Source organism: Homo sapiens, chromosome 6, assembly GCF_000001405.40.
Source record: "Homo sapiens chromosome 6, GRCh38.p14 Primary Assembly".
NCBI lineage: Eukaryota > Metazoa > Chordata > Mammalia > Primates > Hominidae > Homo > Homo sapiens.
Genome location: NC_000006.12, coordinates 10,827,539 through 10,850,673, shown reverse-complemented (window position 1 = coordinate 10,850,673; position 23,135 = coordinate 10,827,539). Strand labels below are relative to the sequence as shown.

General features: G+C 42.2%; 1 protein-coding gene across 14 annotated transcripts in view, besides 3 other annotated features; it reads left to right on the top strand.

Annotated features, from left to right (window-relative positions):
* Positions 11,453 to 11,612: an enhancer, noted in NCBI's record as "active region_23974". NCBI's record gives its function as "activates an Ori minimal core promoter by ATAC-STARR-seq in GM12878 lymphoblastoid cells {active_cell/tissue: GM12878}" and the evidence as "EXISTENCE:reporter gene assay evidence [ECO:0000049][PMID:35858748]".
* Positions 11,663 to 11,722: an enhancer, noted in NCBI's record as "active region_23973". NCBI's record gives its function as "activates an Ori minimal core promoter by ATAC-STARR-seq in GM12878 lymphoblastoid cells {active_cell/tissue: GM12878}" and the evidence as "EXISTENCE:reporter gene assay evidence [ECO:0000049][PMID:35858748]".
* Positions 11,943 to 12,072: a silencer, noted in NCBI's record as "silent region_16907". NCBI's record gives its function as "represses an Ori minimal core promoter by ATAC-STARR-seq in GM12878 lymphoblastoid cells {active_cell/tissue: GM12878}" and the evidence as "EXISTENCE:reporter gene assay evidence [ECO:0000049][PMID:35858748]".
* The window catches only part of MAK (male germ cell associated kinase), a 75,817-nt gene continuing 64,816 nt past the window's right edge, over positions 12,135 to 23,135 (top strand). For 9 of the 14 annotated variants that reach the window (XR_926215.4, NR_134935.2, XR_926220.4 and 6 more), the window contains exons 1-2: positions 12,135 to 12,171; positions 19,797 to 20,126. Coding sequence is in view for 7 of the 14 variants with exons in the window: in XM_011514622.4 (XP_011512924.1) it covers positions 20,026 to 20,126 (101 nt within the window). In the remaining 7 variants the exon portion in view is untranslated. Of the gene's footprint in view, positions 12,333 to 13,697; positions 13,717 to 19,796; positions 20,127 to 23,135 lie in introns of those variants that run through there. The other 5 variants (NR_134936.2, XM_011514619.3, NM_001242385.2 and 2 more) reach the window with 4 other exon arrangements.

Below are 23,135 nucleotides of genomic sequence, written 5' to 3'. Positions count from 1 at the left end.
AGAGAGTCCCAGTACCGCGATGCCACTTAGCCAAGATGCTGTTGTATCATTGAATGGCATCAACATTCTCATTCTTGTAAAAAGCAACAAACTGGTCTGGAGTGGTGGCTCACGCCTATAATCCCAGCACTTTGGGAGGCCGAGGCGGGCAGATCACCTGAGATCAGGAGTTCAAGACTAGCCTGACCAACATGGATAAACCCCTTCTCTACTAAAAATAGAAAATTATCTGGGCGTGGAGGCACATGCCTGTAATCCTAGCTACTTGGGAGGCTGAGACAGGAGAATCACTTGAACCCGGGAGCTGGAGGTTGCGGTGAGCTGAGATTACGCCATTGCACTCCAGCCTGGGCAACAAGAGCCAAATTCTGTCTCAAAAAAAAAAAAAAAAAAAAAGCAACAAACTGTAAACACAGGTGAAAACCAACATATCCACACATATTCTTGCTTTAGTTGAAAAGCTGTTGGCAGGGTGATAGGAAGCAGTTTCTTTTGTTTAGAGTGGGTTGTTTGGAAAAGCTCTGCATATTGTTTTTGAAACTTTATATCCACTGAATAACAACTCCCCACTTATCCTCCCCCAAAATCCCTGACAACCACCATTCTACTCTCTGCTTCGATGAGTTCGACTATTTTTTTCTTTTTAGAGAAAAGGTCTCACTCTGTCACCTAGGCTGGAGTGCAGTGGCACAATCGAGGTTCACTGCAGCCTCAACCTCCTGGGCTCAAGTGAGCCTCCAGCCTCAGCCTCCCGAGTGGCTGGGACTGTAGGCATGAACGACCACACCAGGCTAATTTTTTTATTTTTTGTAAAGATGGGGATCTCACTATGTTGCCTAGGCTGGTCTTGAACTCCTGGGCTCAAGTGATCCTCCCCCATTGGCCTCTCAAAGTGCTGGGATAACAGATGTGAGCCACCCTCAGCCAGCCCGTATTGTAGTTACCTCATCTAAATGGAATCATGCAGTATTTGTCCTTCTGTGACTGGCTTATTTCAGTTAGCGTAATGTTCTCCAGGTTCATCCCTATGTGGCACATGGCAGGATTTCCTTTTTTTTATGGCTGATTCAATTTACATATATACCACATTTTCTTTATCCATGTATCCGTTGATGGACATTTACATTGTTTCTGTATCTTGGCTATTGTGAATAAGGATGCAGTGAGTATGGGAATGCAGGTATCGCTTCAACATCCTGATTTCAATTATTTTGGATACGTGCTCAGAAGTGGGATTGCTGGATCATATAGTATTTCTGTTTTTAATTTTTTTTTTTCTTTGAGATGGAGTCTCACTCTGTGGCCCAGGCTGGAGTGCAATGGCACGATCTCGGCTCACTGCAACCTCCGCCTCCTGGGTTCAAGCAATTCTCCTGCTTCAGCCTCCTGAGTAGCTGGGATTACAGGCACCTGCCACCATGCCTGGCTAATTTTTAGTTGTATTTTTAGTTGTGACGAGGTTTCACCACGTTGGCCAGGCTGGTCTCGAACTCCTGACCTCAGGTGATCCACCCACCTCGGCTTCCCAAAGTGCTGGGATTACAGGTGTGAGCCACCGTGCCCAGTGTAATTTTTTTTTGAGAAACCTCCATAAAGACAAGTAAACATAATGTAATATTCTAGGTGAGCTACTGGAACAGAAATTGGACATAAGGCAATTTATTCAGATACTAAGGAAATCTGAATAAAGTATGGACTTTAGTTAATGATAATGTATTGATATTGCTTCATTTGTTGTGACAAATGTAGCATAGGAATGTAAGATGCTTGACAATGGGGAAACTGGCTGCAGGATATAGGGCAATTCTCTGTACTATCTTTGGAATTTTTCTGTAAATCTAAAACTATTCTAAAATTAACAAGTTTATTTCAAACTTTTAAATGGCATACACCAAAATGTTAGCAGTGGTGAGATATGTGATTTTTATTATGTCTTCTAATATTATGTTGTTATGTATTACTTATAAAGTGAAATAATAAAGTGGATCAGTAAAGAAAAAATTACCTGATATGCTTTAATATTTTCTTTAGTATTTACTTAGCTGTTCATTGTTAAAATTGCTCACAAGTCATTAGGTATTAATAAGAGCTCAATGGCTGGGTGTGATCACTGACGCCTGTAATCTAGGTGGGTGGATCACTTGAGGTCAGTTCGAGACCAGCCTGGCCAACATGGTGAAACCTCGTCACAACTAAAATTACAACTAAAAATTAGCCAGGCGTGGTGGCAGTTGCCTGTAATCCCAGCTACTCAGGAGGCTGAGGCAGGAGAATTGCTTGAACCCGGGAGGTGGAAGTTGCAATGAGCCGAGATGGTGCCACTGCACTCCAGCCTGGGCGACAGAGCGAGACTCTGCCTCAAGGAAAAAAAAAAAAAAAAAAGGCCAGACGCGGTGGCTCACGCCTGTAATCCCAGCACTTTGGAAGGCCAAGACAGGCTGATCACCTGAGGTCAGGAGTTCAAGACCAGCCTGGCTAACGTGGTGAAACTTCGTCTCTACTAAAAATACAAAAATTAGTCCGGCGTGGTGCTGGGTTCCTGTGATCCCAGCTACTCAGGAGGCTGAGGCAGGAGAATTGCTTGAACCTAGGAGGTGGAGGTTGCAGTGAGCTGAGATCGTGCCACTGCACTCCAGCTTGGGCAAAAAAGTGAGACTCCGGCTCAAAAAAAAAAACCAAAAAAACAACAAAAAAAAACGGTCAAGTGGAATTCAAATTCCTAGTTTCCTAATCAAGGAAACCATAAATTGTCAAAACACTGATTTTCTTAATAAGACAGGCTATTGTAAATTGTTTTCAGAATTGCAGTATCATAGAACACTGCTACCTTGTGATGATTCATGGTATAGCAGATAAATCATGCTCAGATTCTTTTTTTTTTTTTTACTTTTTCTAAAAGATTTTTCTTATACTGGTATCTTCTAAGTAATAATTGTGACAAATGTATTTAGCCTGAACCAACATCAATTAAAAAAAACAAAAAACACCAGTAACTGGCTACTCTACAGAACTGACTGCAAAGGAGATGAGAATTCTCACCCAGGTAAACTCTTATATGAGTATGTGGAGGTTTATTCTTAGAATTATAACCATATGAAACGTATTTTGAATTTAGGAGTAAAATTTGAACATGAGATTATATAATAGTTGATACGTTTCTTTAGAAAATAATTTAACCCACAAACACGTCATTTGATGGTAGTTGGATCAGAGTTGGGAGCTGAGGGAAAAGCTAGAGAGTACAGCATACTAAAAAATGAATTGAACCGTGAATGTTCTGGTCCTTCAGTCACTGACTGAGTGTCAGGTCCACACACTTGGCATTGAGGCTTGGTAGGGAATTCAAGCATGAGATGGAAGTCTGGACTTGCTAAGGAAAGACCCTTTACCCTACAATTCTGGGATGGTGTCCAATCACAAATCAGTCCTTAAGTGGAGAGATGGGACAGCTAACTTCAAATACTGGAAGGGTTAACATGTAGGAGGGAAAAGTAAATCTTCTCTATGGCCCTATACGATTAGAAACACTTTTTTTTTTTTTTTTTTTTGAGACAGAGTCTTGCTCTGTCAGCCAGGCTGGAGTATAGTGGCACGATCTCAGCTCACTGCAACCTCTATCTCCCAGGCTCAAGCAATTCTCCTGCCTCAGCCTCCTGAGTAGCTGGGATTATAGGCGTGTGCCACCACACCTGGCTAATTATTGTATTTTTAGTAGAGACGGGGTTTCACCATGTTGGCCAGGCTGGTCTCGAACTCCTGACCTCAGGTGATCTGCCCGCCTCAGCCTCCCAAAGTGCTGGGATTACAGGCGTGAGCCACTGCGCCAGGCCAGAATCACTTTCAATTGCAAGTGGAAATGAAAATCAAAGGACTAAGCAAAAAAAGGAATTTTCTGACCCTTGTCATTGAAGAGACTGGGAATAGATACCTGCGTGGCTCTGTCCAGATGCTCCAGTGCTGACATCTGGAAACTATGTCAGTCCCTCCCAGCTCTGTGTTCTTCCTTGTTCCTTTTCAGGAAGGCTGTCCCTGTGCAGCAAAGCTGGCCCCCAGCCACTCTGGGCCTTCATGGTACTGCTAAGTGTCCCTAGCAGAAGGGGAGTTTGTCTTTCCCAGTAGCTTGGAATCATGTTGCCATCTGTGTAAGCCACGCTGAGACTCTGAGTGGCTCACATGCCCATCTCTGAAACTGAGCCACATAGCCAAGTGGGTCAGGGGTGTCTGCCCAAAGAAAACTGGGGGAAGGGCCAGGCACGGTGGCTCATGCTTCTAATCCCAGTACTATGGGAGGCCGAGAGGCGGGCAGATCATTTGAGATCAGGAGTTTGAGACCAGTCTGGCCAATATGGTGAGACCCCATCTCTACTAAAAACACAAAAATTAGCCGGGCGTAGTGGTGCGTGCCTGTGATCCCAGCTGCTTGGGAGGCTGAGGCAGAAGAATCGTTTGAACCAGGGAGACGGTGGCTGCAGTGGGCCGATATCGTGCCACTGCACTCCAGCCTGAGTGACAGAGTGAGACTCCATCTCAAAAACAAACAAACAAAAAACTGGGGGAATACCTGACAGGGCAGGTAGATGCTGGACGGGCAAAAATAAGAGGTCCACTACAGATCACAATGGGTAAAACTCGGGAACTGCAAAGTGACATATTACCATTCAATAGAAGGAGGGCAGTTTCAGCAATCAGACCCATCTCAAGCTGGGATTGGAGGAGGTAGTGAGTTCTGTCACAGGAGGTTCCAAGCAAACACTTGCACTTCTAAAGTTTCTAAGAATTCAAACTGCCGATGGACTCTATCTAAGGATTGATTTGTGGCTGGATGCCACATTGCTTCCCTCTGTCTCCACTGCTGTCCACTTCTCCAATACACCATCACAGCTTAACTGTGCAAACTGAATATGCCCCCTAACTTGTCTCACTGCCTGCCTCCCACTTGCCTCTCTACAATTCATTCTCCAGAGAGCAGGTGGAAGAAACAGTCATTTATTCATTCAATAAATATTTATTGTGCACCTGGTATATGCCGGGCACTGTTTCAGGGATAGATATATGAGCAACCAAGACAGACATAAATCTCTGCCTTCAGGGAGCTTACATTCCAGTGGGGGAAGCAGAAAATAAACAGAAAGTGGTAAAATATAGTATATATTAAGAAGAAAATTAAGCCAAGGGGTATGCATGAAGTGTCAGCAGTGGAGTAGTAGAGGGTGTCTAGAGAAGGCTTCACTGAGAAAGTGATGTTTTGAATAAAGACTAAAAGGAAGTGAAGAATCGAGCTATATGTTGAGTGCTACAATTTTTTGTTCAATGTGGTATCATTTAAGGCTGAATAGTCTTCCGTTATGTATTATGTATATCTTGTCATTTGCAACATGGATGAACCTGGAGGGCATTATGTTAAGTGATAATAAACCAGATATAGAAAGACAAATATCAGGCCAGGCGCAGTGGCTCAGACCTGTAATTCCAGCACTTTGAGAGGCCCAGGGAGGCGGATCACTTGAGGTCAGGAGTTCAAGACCAACCTAGCCAATATGGTGAAACCCCGTCTCTACTAAAAATACAAAAATCATCAGGGTGTGGTGATGAGCACCTGTAATCCCAGCTACTCAGAATGCTGAGGTTTGAGAATCACTTGAACCTGGGAGGTGGAGTTGGAGTTTGCAGTGAGCCAAGATTGCACCATTGCACTCCAGCCTGAGCAACAAAGTGAGGCTCCATCTCAAAAAAAAAAAAAAAAAAAAGACAATCACCACATTATCTCATTTATATGTGGAGTGTGAAAAAGTTAAACTCATAGAAATAGATAGTAAAATGGTGGTTACCAGAGGCTGGGGGGTGCGATGACTTGGGAGATGTTGGTCAAAGGATACAAAATTTCAGTTAGATAGGAGAATAAATTGAAGAGATTTATTGTTCATCATGGTGACTATAATTGATAACGCTATACCGTACACCTGAAAAGTACTGAAACAGTAGATTTTGTGTTCTCAGCACATACACAAAAGTGGTAAGTATGTGAGGTAATGCTTATGTTAAATAACTTGATTAAGCATTACACAATGTATACATGTATCAAAATATTATATGGTATAACACAAATATATACAATTTTTACTTATCAATTTTAAAAAATAATTTTTTGTTTTTTTACTTTTTTATATTTTATTTTTTTCTATTTTTTATTTTTTTGAAAAAAAAATTTAAAAATTTAAATGTAGTATAGTTTATTACCATCATTATTCTTTTTCATGTTCAGATTATTTCAAATTGAGCTAGTAGATACATCTTTAAACTTAGGAAGAAAAAAAGGTCAAATTTTAATTTTTTTCATATGGTTACTCATTATGTCATTTGTCAAATAGTTTGTATTTTTCCAAGTGCAAAATTTGAAGTAGTGTTAGAAAACAATATTTTTCTTTTTTTTTTTTTCCCCCAGAGATGGAGTTTTGCTCTTGTCCCCTAAGCTGGAGTACAATGGTACGATCTCGGCTCACTGCAATCTCTGCCTCCCAGCTTCAAGAGATTCTCCTGCTTCAGCCTCTCAAGTAGCTGGGATTACAGGCACCCACCACCATGCCCAGCTAATTTTTTTATTTGTAGTAGAGACAGGATTTCACCATGTTGGCCAGGCTGGTCTCAAACTCCTGATTTCAGGTGATCCACCCATCTCAGCCTCCCAAAGTGCTGGGATTACAGTCATGAGCCACCACACCCGGCCTGAAAACAATATTCTGACAGTACACCCTCAGTGGCATATAATCTAAGGACAAATTAAATTGAAAAGAAATCTTGAATTTAGGATAAAATGAGAAAGCCTAACATAGGTCTAAATAAATTCTAAGCAGCAGAAAGAATAAAGGAGAGACTATTTTTGCAAAATCATGGCTATTTTCTACAACTAGTTAAAGACATAAATCCACAGATCTAAGAAGCACAGATAATACCAAGCAGGGCAAGTAAGAAGATATTCACATCTAGACACAAAGTAGTAAAACTGTAGAGTGCCAGAACAAAGCAAACTTAAAAGTACCAGAGAGAAAAGAGAGATGACCTACAAAGGAGTGGCAATTAAACCACAGCAGACTTCTCAAAAGTAAAAATGGATGCTGGAAGATGAAATGAACATTTCTGTTCAAACGAAAATTTCCCCTCATGGTACTGAGAAGTAATAACTCTCAAACTACTAGAATTGTACCTAAGAAAACCATGTTGCAAGAGCAAGGACAAATAGAGATTTTTTAAAAATAAAAACAAAGCCGGGCACAGTGGCTCATGTCTGTAATCCCAGCACTTTGGGAGGCTGAGGTGGGTGGATCATGAGGTCAGGAGATCGAGACCATCCTGGCTAACAAAGTGAAACCCCGTCTCTACTAAAAATACAAAAATTTAGCTGGGCGTGGTGGCGGGCACCTGTAGTCCCAGCTACTCGGGAGGCTGAGGCAGGAGAATGGCGTGAACCCAGGAGACCGAGCTTGCAGTGACCCGAGATCGTACCATTGCACTCCAGCCTGGGTGACACAGCAAGACCCCGTCAAAAAAAATAAATTAAAACAAAAACAAAAAGCAAGTGCAACATTTTACCACGAACAGACCTACTGTAAAGGAACTTCTAAAGGCTATACTTTAGGATGAAGGAAGGTAATCCCAGGAGGAAGGTCTGAGGTACAGAAAGATAAGATGAGCAAAGACATCATCACATGTATCAATGTACAAATACTCTGAATGTAAAATAACAGACCAATCTATAGGGTTATAAATATAAACTAAAATATTAGATGACATTAGCACATAAATTGAATGGGTAATCTGAATTAAAGAATTATAAAGTCCTTGTAGTGCTCAGTGGCTTGGTGAAATAGGATCTTTAACCTTTGCTGGGTGTGCATGATACATTTTAAGACTACCTTGGACTTTCCTTGCCCCAGTCATGGAATCAGCCACTTCTCCAAGGAGTTCTGTTTCCTTTAAGTAAATAATAGTATTACAAAACCGGGACTTGGGTGTTAATCTGTTCACTGTTACTGTAGTGTCATTGTTTCTAGATCCTTTCAGTGAACAGAGCTAGGAAGCACTTTTTAGTAAGTCATGTGTTAATCTTGCTACCTCCAAGTCAAAACTGACACCACAGATTCTTCCTCTTCTTTCTCCATTCTACATCTTTATCTCTCTTCTCCCAAATAAGAACTCTGATTTTCAACAGTATCAATATTTGCTTGATTCTACCATATAGATAAATTTTACTAGAACTGCAGCTGGCCAGGCATGGTGGCTCATGCCTGTAATCCCAGCACTTTGGGAGGCCGAGGTGGGTGGATCAGCTGAGGTCAGGAGTTCAAGATCAACCTGACCAATATGGTGAAACCCCATCTCTACTAAAAATACAAAAATTAGATGGGCACGGTGGTGTGTGCCTGTAGTCCCAGCTACTCGGGAGGCTGAGGCAGGAGAATTGCTTGAACTCGGGAGGTGGAGGTTGCAGAGAGCCGAGATCACACCACTGCACTCCAGCCTGGGCGACAGAGTGAAACCCCATCTCAAACAAAAAAAAGAACTACTGTAGCAATGCATTATCAACAACAAATCTACTTCTTAGAATTTATTTAGACCCATGTTAGACTTTATTTTATCCATCGTATCTCTTAATTTCTCATTAGTATTTCTCATCTTCTTATCTTTTATATGCTATATTCTAGGTACTTTCTGCAGATTTTGTGCCAATTCCCTAATTCTTTCTTTTGTTCTAATATAACATGTAACTCATTTTTAAAGTTTCAATAGTTACGTTTCTTTCTAACAGTTTATTTAATTCTTTTTCTAATATTCCTGATTGATTTCTGTTCATTTTTGCTATTCCTTCTTCTATTTCTGTATATATTTCATACATAGCTATTTTGTATTCAAGCTGATTTTTCCAATTTCAGAAATCCTGGAAAGTCTGAATAATTGTTGCTTTTTCTAGATTCTCATTTGACGGTGTTCATTCCTCTGTGGTCATGAGCTCATATTTTTTGAAAAACCTAGAGGCCTAAGTTGAGGATGCCTTCTTCAGAGATGATTGTGTTTGTTTCCTTTGGGATCCAGATGATGCTCCTGACCTGGGACCACTTTGACCCCTTCTAAGCTCCCCTGGTTGATTTTCTAGTCCCTGGTCCAGCTCAGCCCTATTGCCACGGGTCCAAGGCTTCGTCAGCTGGTTGAAATGCTGAAATGGGATTTGCCTTTGGGCCACCTTTGCCTTTCAGGTACGTTCACTGCTCTGCTCAGATATTAGGTACTTTTTAGAAGGGGTTAGGAGTGCTTGGAGAATTTTTATTCTTCTATTGTGAAACGTGACAAAAAATATGTTTTGTGCATGCTCTACTTGTTTTAAAACAGAAGAGTTCTTCAGAAGGAATAAATGCTGTTTGTCCTCTTTTTGTTTTCTCTCTCTTTCCTTCCTTCCTTTCTCTTTCTCTTTCTTTTGGGAAACCTACCTTTCCTCATTCTGAAATATCATTTTTCTGAGGGATCTCCTACTACTTCCCTGACTTTTCTTTTTTCAGTCTGTCTCTTCCTCACCCCTACTCTTTCTTTCTCCACTCTTTAGAGGATGGAGTTTTCCAGAATCCCATCCCTTCTTTCTTCTTACTGTTTATTTCATCTATATCCATGATTTCATCCACAGTATCCCAACATATCTGTATTTCTAGCTCTAAAAGAACCCTAAGTTGCAAATCTATATTACAAACTCCCTTCTTGTAATCTGCATAAGGATTTTTCTCAATTCAAAAATTTCAAAACTGGGCTTGTTATCTCTCACATCCTCCATCCCTAAATCAGCTCCTCCTCTATTATTTTCCAACTTGGTCATGGATACCACTATCCACCAGTCATCTAAGCCTGATGGTCCTGCCGATTTTAACTCCTAAACATCCCTTGAATTCTGTCTTTCTCTGTCCTATTTCCATCATCACTGCTAGAGTTGGATCCTTATCATTTCTTCCCAGTCAGTTGGGAGAAAGACTCCCAATCTTTCTCTTGCCTCCAGACTTGCAGCTCAAATCCACCCTACCCACTGCTCCTCTTGGGATCTTTCTGAAATGCAAATGTGAACATGTCACTCTTCTGTGGGAGATTCTTCACTGGTCTTCCTCATTGACACATGTTAAAGCTTAGGCTTCATAACTGGGTATATAAAGCTGCTATGACCTATCTAACTTATGCTTTTTACTTTGCCTGCCTACTTCACTTATTTATTGGAGAGCAATGAATCTTTTATTTATTATTATTATTATTGAGACGGAGTTTTGCTTTTGCTGCCCAGGCTGGAGTGCAATGGTGTGATCTCAGCTCACTGCAACCTCCGCCTCCTGGGTTCAAGCTATTCTCCTACCTCAGCCTCCCAAGTAGCTGGGATTACAGGCATGCGCCACCACGCCTGGCTAATTTTTTGTAGTTTTAGCATTTTAGTAGAGATGGGGTTTCTCCAGGTTGGTCAGACTGGTCTCAAACTCCCGACCTCAGGTGATCCGCCCACCTCGGCCTCCCAAAGTGCTGGGATTACAGGCATGAGCCACCGCGCCTGGCCATTTATTATTATTATTATTTTGAGACAGAGTCTTGCTCAGTCACCCAGGCTGGAGTGCAGTGGCACGTTCTCCGCTCACTGCAACCTCTGCCTCCTGGGTTCAAGTGATTCTCCTGCCTCAGCCTCCCGAGTAGCTGGGATTACAGGCATGTGCCACCACACCCAGATATTTTTTGTATTTTTAGTAGAGATGGGGTTTCACCATGTTGGCCAGGCTGGTCTTGAACTCCTGACCTCAGGTGAGCCACTCACCTGGGCCTCCCAAAGTGCTGGGATTACAGGCATGAGCCACTGAGCCCCGTCTGTTTTTAAATGTTTATTTCAATAGCTCTTGGGGTACAAGTGGTTTTTTGTTACATAGATGAATTATATAGTGGTGAATTCTGAGATTTTAGTGCACCCATCATCTGAGTAGTGTATATGGTACCTAGTGCATAGTTTTTTTTATCCCTAGGCTCTCTCCCATCCTCCCCTTTCTGAGTCTCCAAAGTCCATTATTTCACTGTGTATGCCTTTGCATACTCATAGCTTGGCTTTTGCTTATAAGTGAGAACATACAGTTTTTGGTTTTCCACGCCTGTATTACTTTGCGTAGAATAAGGACCTCCCACTCTTCCAAGTTGTTGCAAAAGACATTATTTCATTCTTTTTTTGTGACTGAGTAGCAGCCTATGGTGTATATATACCACATTTTCTTTATCCACTCATTAGTCAATGGGCACTTAGATTGGTTCCACATCTTTGCAATTGTGAATTGTGCTGCCATAAACATACGCGTGAAAGCCTACTTCACTTTAAGCTGTGAGGGCCACAGGCATGTCTGTCGTGTCTACCTTGGCGCTATTCTTGGTCCCAAGCCCACATCCTGACACCTAATAATTACTAACTTGCCGCACCACTGCTTCATCACTTATGTTTCTGTTTCGTAGACCCTTTTTGCCAGCCAATCTGAACTATTTGCAGTAACACAAGTGTGCCTTCCTCTCTAAATTCTAGACTAGTTACAATTTACCCATTTATTCACACATTCAGTCATTTTTCTTGGAATTACCACTATCTAACTCTGTGGCTGATACTAGGCAGGTTCTCTGAATGAATAAATGGAAACAAACTTAGAAGGGCAGCTCAAGAGGTAATACATACCCAAGGAATTGACCAATTTAAGGAACTGCATACAAGAACAGTTTTTCCCCAGGCACAAGTAAACAAGTGCAAGTATGAGGCAAACAGACTTCCTTCTCTTGCTCTGCCCGGTCTGGGAACCATATTTTAATTAATCAAGACTTTGTAGAATGAATCGGAACAAAACCAAAACAAAATAAAGGGCAAACAAACCAACTTCTGACAAAGACCTGACTGAAAAGGTAATCAACTCCCCTAAACCCCAAGTCTAAATGGCACACTTGCTGCAGCTCAGCCGACAGTCCCCCGGCTCCATGAAGCCCCGCCCCGGGGAAGGCGGGGCCTGCGGGAATTGGCGGGGATTTCCCGCGAGGCCACGCCCTCTCTGGGCCGGCCGTAGGCCCGCCTGCTGCCCCCGCCGTTTCCTAGGAGATGAAACACACAAGACGCCGGAGCTTCACAAGGGAGCGAACGAGGTAAGCAGCAGGCGCGGACAGGTAATCCCCAGCGGGCTGCAGGGCCACCACCCTCTGTCCGACCCAGCCGGAGCCCGACCTGCGAGGCTGGCCGGGCATGTCCCCTCGGCGCCCTGTGCTACCAGGGCCAATCTCCGCCCGGAGACCGGTCCCTGACGCCGGTAGGGGAAGGACTGGAGGGAGGAGGGTCCCCGGAGGGGCGGAGCGGGCGGGAGTGGTCAGCCCGAGGGAAGGCGGTCGGTGTCTCCCAGACCTCTTGACCACTTTCCCGCCTCCTGGACCGCGGGGGCCGGCCTGGCGTGGGAGGATGACGGCCGGGCGTCCCTTAGCCTGAGACCCCCGCCCCTAAACTCTCCTCCGGGATCTCCCACCTCTGCTCCCCTGCTGCTTGGGCTGGCGGTGGAAACTGTTTTTAGGACAGAGAGGCAGGATTGGGTCTCAGGGAGGCAGCGGAACTGAGTTCAGAACTGTTGCAAAATCTAAAAGGAGGGAGAAAAACAGGAATTAGGTCCGACTCCAGCCCTCGCTGGTGCATCCCAAAGGACGCTCAGGTGAAAGTGGAATTCCGCACACCCCCGTCCCCCCCAACGGCGCCGGACTCCCGGCGCCCGGGGACGCCCCCTCCTTCCACCACGCGGTCCCTGGAGCCTTTTAAGAGCCCTGGTTTGCAGAGTCGGATCAGAAAGTGTGTGACGAAAACTGTCCCTTTTCTGCAAGTAATCCGTTTTAATTTAGGGACAGGTCGAGAGTGCGGTGTCGAGAGCAATAAAACTGGTTTTTAGTGGTTAGTAATCTCAATCCTACAAGGAAAGAGCTGTATGCAAATGTGGTTAGATAATCGTTTAAAAGAAACAGACATTTGTTCTAATGATAACGGAATTCTCAAAGAGGGAAGCCAAAGTTATCTGACTTTATTTATTCAGAAACACAACCCATTAAGTGAAATAATGGTGAAAACAAAAGTGACTTTCCAGCTTTTCGATCGGGCCCCGCCTCCCCGGCCCTTCAATTCCCGAGGCTTGACCGGGAGGGAGAAAGTTCCCCCAACCGCGCCACCGCCTGCTTCCACTGCAGGCACCGGGCAGGACGTTTAATCTCTTCGTCGGGGTGGACTTTTTTTGTGTATAAGCTTTGAAATAATTTGTGAATATGAGCACAGAGAACTGTGCTTTTATATTTTAAGATACAGTCTTTGTTTTCCCATTGTAATAGCTCATTTAATTTCTGTAAAACTTCGACTTGGTTAGTTTGGGATCTTTTTTTCCTGCGTTGCTTTTTAAAGAGTTTGGTGACTTTTAAAACGTTAATTACTCTTTTGTTGTGTATTAGAAGCGTTAAGCCAGCCTCGGAGTGACATAATATGTTCTAGAAAGCCACGTTGAAGACATCCAAGCCTTATCTCTTCAGTTTTTGGCAGACGCTTGTTTTACCCTTCATTTGCCCTCTTTGCTAATCTTCTTTAATCCTATCTGAATCTCTTATTAGCTGGCAAAAGCTGTTGAGAGTAAAGGCTATATTTACAACAATTGTGCACTTAGAGAAACGGTAATTATGAACTTAGATTAAAAAGTTGAAAACTAGAATGAGAGATAAATTATAAGGGTATTTATTTTTGTGTAGGTCTATAATTAAGCCTCTAAATAAGCATCTTTTTCTTTAACCCATAGGAAGGTCAATAAATGTTATAGCTTGATTGTAGAAAATTCCAAGTTTTTAACAATTCTGTTAAATTGAGGATGATAGTTATATTTACTTGGGTTTTTTGTTGCATATGTATCATATCTATATATATTCATGTACATAAGAAACTGTGTTAATATATTCCTATTTTGTAGATTAGTTTTCCATAGGTCAACAGAGAAGAATATATGTAACTTGTAGAGAAATATTATTGTGCGTGAACTGGAGAACCATGGGAAGCCTGTGTTTAAGGAACATAGACTGCTTTTTGATTAGTAATCAGTAGTTGCTATGCCACATTGATAAAAGTAGTTGCTTATGTGCTATCAGGGAGCAGGGACATGGAATAATGATTTTTTAAAAGCTTTACCTTGATGTCTATGTCTCTACATTAGACAATTGTATGTTCAGGGGATAGAAGGAACAGTTGCAATGATCAGCGTCTCACCCTGGGCAGCTGTTGATTTTGTAATTAATGTAGTTCAAAAGAAGCCTTTCCAAAGTTTTTTCTTAGGGAGCGCAGTATGTAAAGTTGTTTTACTTAAAGGTTAGGTAGGGCTTAAATGGGACAGATCCTCACAGAACCACTAATCTGACCTTTTAAAAATCTATGTCACGTCCGTAATCCTCAACACTCCACCCCTCAAACAGAAAGGAGCTGGGAAATGGTCGTGTTCCTTGCTTATTCTTCCCTCAATATAAGTACACCCTATCCTATAGCCATCATCCGTTGAAAGACAATTGGTGTTGCCGGTGTTTATTCAGAAGTTGATTGGTTAGGCTTGGAATGAAGTTGCCAAAATAGCCACTCGCAAAGAGACTGTGCACGCAGGCTTGGGTCGAAAGTCATCAGTGACTGAATGCTCTATTGTGCTGATAGTGCTGGTGCAGCTTCAGGTCACCCTCCCACCCCAGGGCGGTGGTGATGGGGGTGGCTGATGGCCTTAATAGTGGAAGAGAGAGGTGTAATTAATTCTTAATTTTTAGATTGTTGGGCCAATGAAGGTGATTTTTTTGTCACTCTTTGTGTTTCCACTTCCTGAATAACACTCGCTACCATCATTACCATGCAACCAGAGGCAGCTCCCTCTTCCATTCCCTTCTCAAGTCATATGTCCTTTTTCAGAATTGTCTGCATTACTTTTCTACCTTTTAGACCCTCAAATGCTTGTCCTTGGTTAGGTGTTAACATGAAAATAATTTGGTTAAAAGAAAAGATGATGCTATCATACCATTATGTTTCTGAATTAAATAATTTTCATGGCTGGGCGCAGTGGCTCACGCCTATAAACCCCAGCACTTTGGGAGGCCGAGGCAGGTGGATCACATGAGGTCAGGAGTTCAAGACCAGCCTGGCCAACGTGGTAAAACCCTGTCTCTACTAAAAATACAGAAATTAGCCGGGCATGGTGGCACGCGCCTGTAATCCCAGCTACTCAGGAGGCTGAGGCAGGAGAGTCCCTTGAACCTGGGAGGCGGAGGTTGCAGTGAGCAGAGATAACGCCACCACACTCCAGCCTGGGCATCCGAGCTGTAGGAGATTGGTCAGGGTGGTGGGAAAAATCGTAGAAAGATGCAAACCTTCTTGGAAGGCCAGGGGTTTGCAAAGCTTCAAAAGAAAATTTGGCTGAAGGCAGCTGAATTCTCTTAAGAGCTTAGGTTAGATAACAAGGGGATGTAAAGAAACTAATCTAGATAAGTTAGTTTACTTAGGCCTCAGAACCTGGCCTTTAATCATCCAGACGCAGGACTGCGTGGGGCGGGGGAGCGGTGCGACCATGTTAATTACCCACAAGTGTGTTAACTCAAAGCCTTTGTCATTAAATCTGTGCTGAATAAATGCCCACAGCGCCAGCTGAGCAGGGCCACGGTTTACAGCACCCTCCTGGGGTCTGTGTGCTGCCCGGTCCCCTAGCCCGCTCTTTCACTGGATACCTGTGTCTGAGTGCATTCTTTGATCTGTCATTCAGCCAGGGTCTGCGGGTCGGACCTGGCACAGAGTGAGACTCTGTCTCAAACAATAATAATAATAATAATAATAATTTTCATGAGAGGAGCACCACCTAGATTCTTTCTCCCTTAACCATTCAAGTTCTAAGGTCTCACTCTTTCCCTTCACTGTTTCTGTTATTTTTCACTGGTCTGAATGACCCAGATGTAGCATTAGGGTTTAGTCAGGATATGGAGTAGTCCCACTTCACTTTCCAGGTAGTCAGCAATATCTTAGTGTTTGAGTGAAGAGCTGCATTAGGAATCTTAAGGTGGAGGTTGGGGTAGGTGGCTTGAGTTGTGGAGCTTAGTCTGTGTGGTTTTGGAGCAAAGAGGATGATTTCTTTAGCCTCATTAGGGATAGTAAGAGCTGGCACCAGTTCATAAGAATGGCTTGTTTAGAAGTTGGAGACGACCCTGAAAAACCAACAACATCAAGCCAAATGCAACTATTGGATTGACTCCATCGTTGATTCTCTAGTTGATCCTAGACAGGTCATTTAATCCTTCCATGTTTTTATTTTATGATCTTACTGTCATAAGGAACATGATGGCCTTTTGTGCAAATATATTCTCTTTATGCTTACTTAATCAGAAAGAATCAGTAAACCTAGAGATCACATATTTCCTAAAAGAGATAGATATATGTCACCTTAAATAGGCTAGCTAGAAAAGAGTGTACAGCAATTGAATATGCTGGTGATAAATTGCAAAATACTGATTTAATAAAATCCTAAATGAGAAGAAATATATTTTAGTCCATGTTTTGTTTAACGTAGTACAAAACAAAACAACCCAAAAGATTTTTCCAAATTATATTTGCTTATACAGATAAAGGCAAAATGAAGAAAAGCAAATTCATGTTTTGATTAGGAACCGTGCAGAGAGAGAGACTGCCTTTCTCTATATTAACACCTTAATATTTGGAATCAGTGTCTATGAATAAGGTGACAATGACTTACAAAACTATTCTTTTTCAGGCAAATGGGGAACCATTTGCTGGTACTTATGATTATTAGCTCGGGCTTAATCTGACAAAAAGGAAGAAACCCCTAAATAGAGATGGAATCTGCTGTCATGTTCTCTTTTTCAAGATCCTGGCCATGGAGTTAGCTAGCCTAAATTATTTTATATGTGCCTTTGAAGGGATTGTTACCTACATGAAGTAAGATAAATGTTAAATACGTACTCCCTATTATTATTATTATTATTATTATTATTATTATTTTGAGACAGAGTCTCGCACTGTTGCCCAGGTGGGAGTGCAGTGGTGCAATCTTGGCTCACTGCAACCTCCGCCTCCCAGGTTCAAGTGATTCTCCTACCTCAGCCTCCTTAGTAACTAGGGCTACAGGCCTGCGCCACCACACCCAGCTAATTTCTGTATTTTTAGTAGAGATGAAGTTTCACCACGTTGGTCAGGCTGGTCTCAAACACCTGACCTCAGGTGATCCACCCGTCTTGGCCTCCCAAAGCGTTGGGATTACAGGGATGAGCCAGGGCGCCCAGCCCACACTCCGTATTATTAAAAGCCCCACAGGATTCTTCTCAAGTTTTCTGTGAACAGATACGTTCCTGTAAATAGGAAACAACATAACTTTACTGTGCTGCTCTGCACGTTTATGTCTGCTCATGTTTATGTTTCTTTTCCCGGAAAGGCTGTTTTGGGAAATCTTAAGTATTTTGACAACTATAACGTGCCCTTGTTGGTCTTAAATTCCTGCAAATAATAGAGGAGCAATTTCTATGATTTAAATGAAAGTGCTCCAGTGAGAGAAAAATATTCTTTGAATGAAGAACTAAGTCATAAAAGGTACTTTAAAACAAACTACATACACACCTCGGAGATACTGTGGGTTTAGCTCCAGACCACGGCAATAAAGTGAATATTGCAATAAAGCAAGTCACACATGTTTTTGGGTTTAAAGTACATATGCAAATTATGTTTACATTATACTGTAGTCTATTTAGTATACAATAGCATTTTGTCTAGAAAAAATAACATACATACCTTAATTTAAAAATATCTTATTGTGGCCGGGAGCAGTAGCTCACACCTGTAATCCCAACACATCGGGAGGTGGAGGCAGGTGGATCACTTGAGGTCAGGAGTTTGAGACCAGCCTGTCCAACGTGGTGAAACCCTGTTTCTACTAAAATTACAAAAAATAGCTGGGTGTAGTAGCTTGCGCCTATAGTCCCAGCTACATGGGAGGCTGTCAAAAAAAAAAATCTTATTGCTAAAAAATGCTGATTATCTGAGCCTTCAGTGAGTCATAGTCTTTTTGCTGGTGGAGGGCTTTGCCTCTGTGTTGATGGCTGCTGACCGATCAGGGTGGTGGCTGCTGAAGGTTGAGATGGCTGTAACCATTTCTCAAAATGAGACAACAATGGTATTTGCTACATTGACAGACTTTTCATAAAAGATTTCTCTGTAATATGTGAGACTGTTTGATAGCATTTTACTTACAGTAGAACTTCTTTCAAAATTGAAGTCAGTCTTCTCACATCCTGCCACTGCTTTGTCAACTCAGTTTATGTAATATTCTAAATCCTTTGTTCTTGACTGGGCACTGGTTCATGCCTGTAATCCCGCCGAGGCGGGCGGATCGCTGAGGCCAGGAGTTCGAGACCAGCTTGGCCAACATGGTGAAACCCCATCTCTACTAAAAATACAAAAATTAGCCAGGTGTGGTGGTGCGCACCTGTAATCCCAGCTACTGGGGGTCGGGGTGGGCACCTGTAATCCCAGCTACTGGGGGAGTGATGGTGACAGGGGTGAGGACTCAGGGACAAAAATCACTTGAACCTGGGAGGCGGAGGTTACAGTGAGCCAAGATTGTGCCACTGCACTCCAACCAGAGTCTCACTCTGTCTCAAAAAAAGAAAAAAATTCTTTTTTGTCTTTTCAGCAGTGTTAATAGCATCTCTACCAGAAGTAGATTCCATCTCAATAAAACAGTTTCTTTGTTCATCCATAAGAAACACTTCCTCATTCATTCAAGTTTGATTATGAGGTTACAACATTTCAGTCACATCTTCAGGCTCTACTTCCCTTTTTATTTATTAAAAAATTTTTTTTTCTTTAGAGACAGAGTCTTACTCTGTCACCCAGGATGGAGTTTAGTGGTGTGATCATAGCTCACTGTAACCTTGAACTCCTGGGCTCAAGCAATCCTCGTGCCTCAGCCTCCCAAGTAGCTGGGACTACAAGCGTGCCATCAAGTCCAGCTAGTTTTTTAGTTTTTGTAAAGAAGGGCATGATATGGTGCCCAGGCTGGTCTTGAACTCCTGGCCTCTACAATCCTCCTGCCTTGGCCTCTCAAATCACTGGGATTACAGGCATCAGCCACCACGCCCGGCTATGTTTCTTATTTCTTTGTATGAACCTAGTGTGACACTAAATCCTAATTAGTATTTACATTTTTCTTAGTTTGATGTAAAATAAAGTAGCATGTTATTTAAATAGAATATGAAATTTTAAAATAATGCTATTCCTTTCATATGAAACAAAAGTTTGCTTTATACTTACCTTACCCAATTGGGGTACTTATATTCCACAGAAAATTTACAAGTAGTACAGTTTTAAACAATATGCCAAATTAAATATGATACAAAAATTGATTCAAAGAATGGATATCATATAGACATCAATTTTCCAAGGTCTGATTTGGAATAATGTAGATTATATTTAGTAAAAAAGGAATCATACAAGCCATTATGCCATTATTGAACATAAATAGCACAGTACCATGTAAATGAGGCATTTACCAAGTGAGTATTACCAGTGAGTTATATGTGAACTTCATTTTACATAGACAAATGACTTACTGACAAATATTTAACACAATAGTATTTATATTATTTATAATTTTCCCTTTGCTCTAAGTTGCCAGTACAATTTTTGAAGAGACTTGTTAATGAAAATTCATGATATCCTTGTTTTCTTTCTTTAGGGTGTTTATAAGAATGGAAGTGTTGTTTCCTTGCCCGATTCCTTCATGCTATATCTCATGAACCTCTGTAATCTTGGGGGAGAGACTATATTTAATGATGACAAACCTGTCACCAGTGTAGCAACAACAGTGTGAGGACAAAAGCAAATAAAAATTAAGAAGCGTTCAAATTTATATTCAACAAGGAAGTCATTTCAATCAACAACTTCTGCTGCATTATTTTTCCAAGATGAACCGATACACAACCATGAGACAGTTGGGGGACGGCACGTATGGGAGTGTGCTTATGGGCAAGAGTAATGAATCCGGGGAGCTGGTGGCCATCAAAAGGTACTGTGTGTGACACTGCCAACTTCACCTTTGAAAACTCTGCTCTTTATTTTCCTGTCCTCGCTTAAGAATATATACCAGCACAGGCCAGCGCGGTGGCTCATGCCTGTAATCCCAGCACTTTGGGAGGCCGAGGCGGGCGGATCATGAGGTTAGGAGTTTGAGACCAGCCTGGCCAACATGGTGAAACCCTGTCTCTACTAAAAATACAAAACTTAGCCAGGCATGGTGGCACGCGCCTGTAATCCCAGCTACTCAGGAGGCCGAGGCAGGAGAATTGCTTGAACCCAGGAGGTGGAAGTTGCAGTGAGCTGAGATCGCGCCACCGCACTCCAGCCTGGGTGATACAGTGAGACTCCGTCTAAAAATATATATATATACGTGCACACGCACACACACACACACACACACACACACACACACGTGCACACAGGCTGTGTGCGGTGGCTCATGCCTGCAATCCCAGCACTTTGGGTTGAGGTCAGGAGTTTGAGACCAGCTTGGCCAACATGGTGAAACCCTGTCTCTACTAAAAATACAAAAATTAGCCAGGCATGGTGGTGCACACATGTAATCCCAGCTACTCAGGAGGCTGAGGCACGAGAATCGCTTCAACCTGGGAGGCAGAGGTTGCAGTGAGCTGAGATTGCACCACTGCACTCCAGCCTGGGTGACAGAAGGAGACTCCATCTCAAAAAAAAAAAGAATATATACGAGCACAGAAAGAGGTCTAGTTTAGATCAAATAGCATCTGGCTCATGTGGAATGTCATTCTTGGAAAAGAACATTGCCAAAGAGGAATTCTGCTGTTTTTCTTCTATATTACTTTAACTGTCTGGCTTGTCCAGCTACACTGATAAACCAAAAAATATGAGTGCCTCCTTTTTTATATGTATAATACATTTGGACCAAAACTACAGGTGATCTTTGGAATGTTCTTCCAAATTTATTTGTTGGTTTTCGTTTTTGTTTGTGTTTTTTGAGATGGGGGTCTCACTCTGTTGCCCAGGCTGGCGTGCAGTGGTGTGATCATGGCTCACTGCAGTCCTGACTTCCCAGGCTCAAGCAAGCTACCCACCTTGGCCTCCCAAAGTGCTGGAATTACAGGTGTGAGCCACCATTCCTGACCTGTTTTTCACATTTAAAGTTGAGTGCAGAGTAGGGCTTATTATTTCTTTAAAACAAGGTCTCAAAATCAGATGGTATTCATAATGTCAAATTGAGTTCTGAATGATATATGTTATATTCCTGAACTTATGAAATAGAATTGTTGTTAATTTGTTTGTTTTTAATCCACTGTGTTTATCTATTGCTGCATAACAAAATACCTGCAAAGCTTAGTGATTTAAAATAAGAAGAAACATTTATTAATTCACATAGTTTCTGTGGGTCAGGAATTTAGAAGTAGCTTAGCTGGGTAGTTCTGGCTTGGGTTCTCTGATGGCAGTCAGATAATTGGCCGAAGTTTCAGTCATCCGAAGGCTTGACTGGGACTGCAGGATCTACTTCCAAGGTGGCTCACTCTTGGTTTGCTAGGGCTGCTGTAACAAAGTATCACAGACTGGTTGGCTTAAACAACAGAGATTTATTTCCTCACAGTTCTGGAGGCAAGAAGTGCAACATCAAGGTATCTGCTGGTTGTTTCTTCTGAGGCCTCTCTCCTTGGCTTGTAGACAGCCATATCCTCTCTAGGTCTTTATATGATCTTCTCGTTGTGCATGTCTGTGTCCACATTTCCCCCCTCTTTTTTTTCAAGACAGGGTTCCATTCTGTCGCCCAGGCTGAGGTACGGTGGTACAAACATAGCTCACTATAGCCTCAGCCTCCTGGGCTTGAACCATCCTCCTGCCTCAGCCTCCAGAGTAGTTGGGACTGTAGGCGTGTACCACAACATGTGGCTAATTTTTAAAAAATTTTTTTGGAGTGATGGGGTCTTGCCATGTTGCCCAGGCTCCTCTTATAAGGACACCAGTCATATCAGATTTGGGCCTACCTGAAAGACCTCACTTAAACTTAATTACCTTTTTAAAGACCCTATCTTCAGATACTGTCACACCGTGAAAGTCTGGGGGCTAGGACTTCAATATAGGAGTTTTGGGGGACACAGTTGAACCCATCACACTCACTCACAGGGTTGGCATATTTGTACTGGCTGTTGGCAAGAGGCACCTCAATTCCCTTTTACAGAGGCTCCTTCCTTGGGCCTTTCCAGAGGGTTGTTTGAATAGCCTCGGGACATGGCAGTTGACTTCCACCAGAACCAGTCCCGTACTCATGGGATACGCATCTCCACATTACCACATCAACCAAATTATGACAAACTAAAATTTAAATACTTTAGCAAATGTTTTAAAATATTATGATCTAAACCATTACATGTACAAGGAAATAACTTCATAAAATATTTTTAAATAGTCATTATCATCAGATAAGTAAATATATAATATACAATAATGGAAATGAAAAATAAATTGAATAGGCTTAATAAAATTCAGTGCTCATTTGTGATTTGATGAACTAAAAAAAACAAACATTGATTTCTTAAAAAACTTATGATAAAGCCTCTTGGCTGAATGCAGTGGCTCACACCTATAATCCCAGCACTTTGGGAGGGCAAGGCAGGAGGATCGCTTGATCCCAGGAGTTTGAGACCAGCTTGGCAACATGGTGAAACCCCACCTCTACAGAAAATACAAAAATTAATTGGGCATCGTGGTGCTCACCTATAGTCCCAGCCACTCGGGAGGCTGAGGTGGGAGGATTGCTTGAGCCCAGGAGGTCGAGGCTGCAGTGAGCCAAGATAGTGCCACCACTACTGTACTTCAGCTTAGGTGACCTAGTGAGACCCTATCTAAAAACAAAAACAAAAGTAAAACAAAACAAAAACTTAGCAAATAGGAATAAAAAGAAACTTCCCTAACCTACATAATTCATATTAATGTGAATTAGTACGAAAACCTATATAATTCATATTAATGTGAAATATCAGAAGTAATATCAGTACAAATT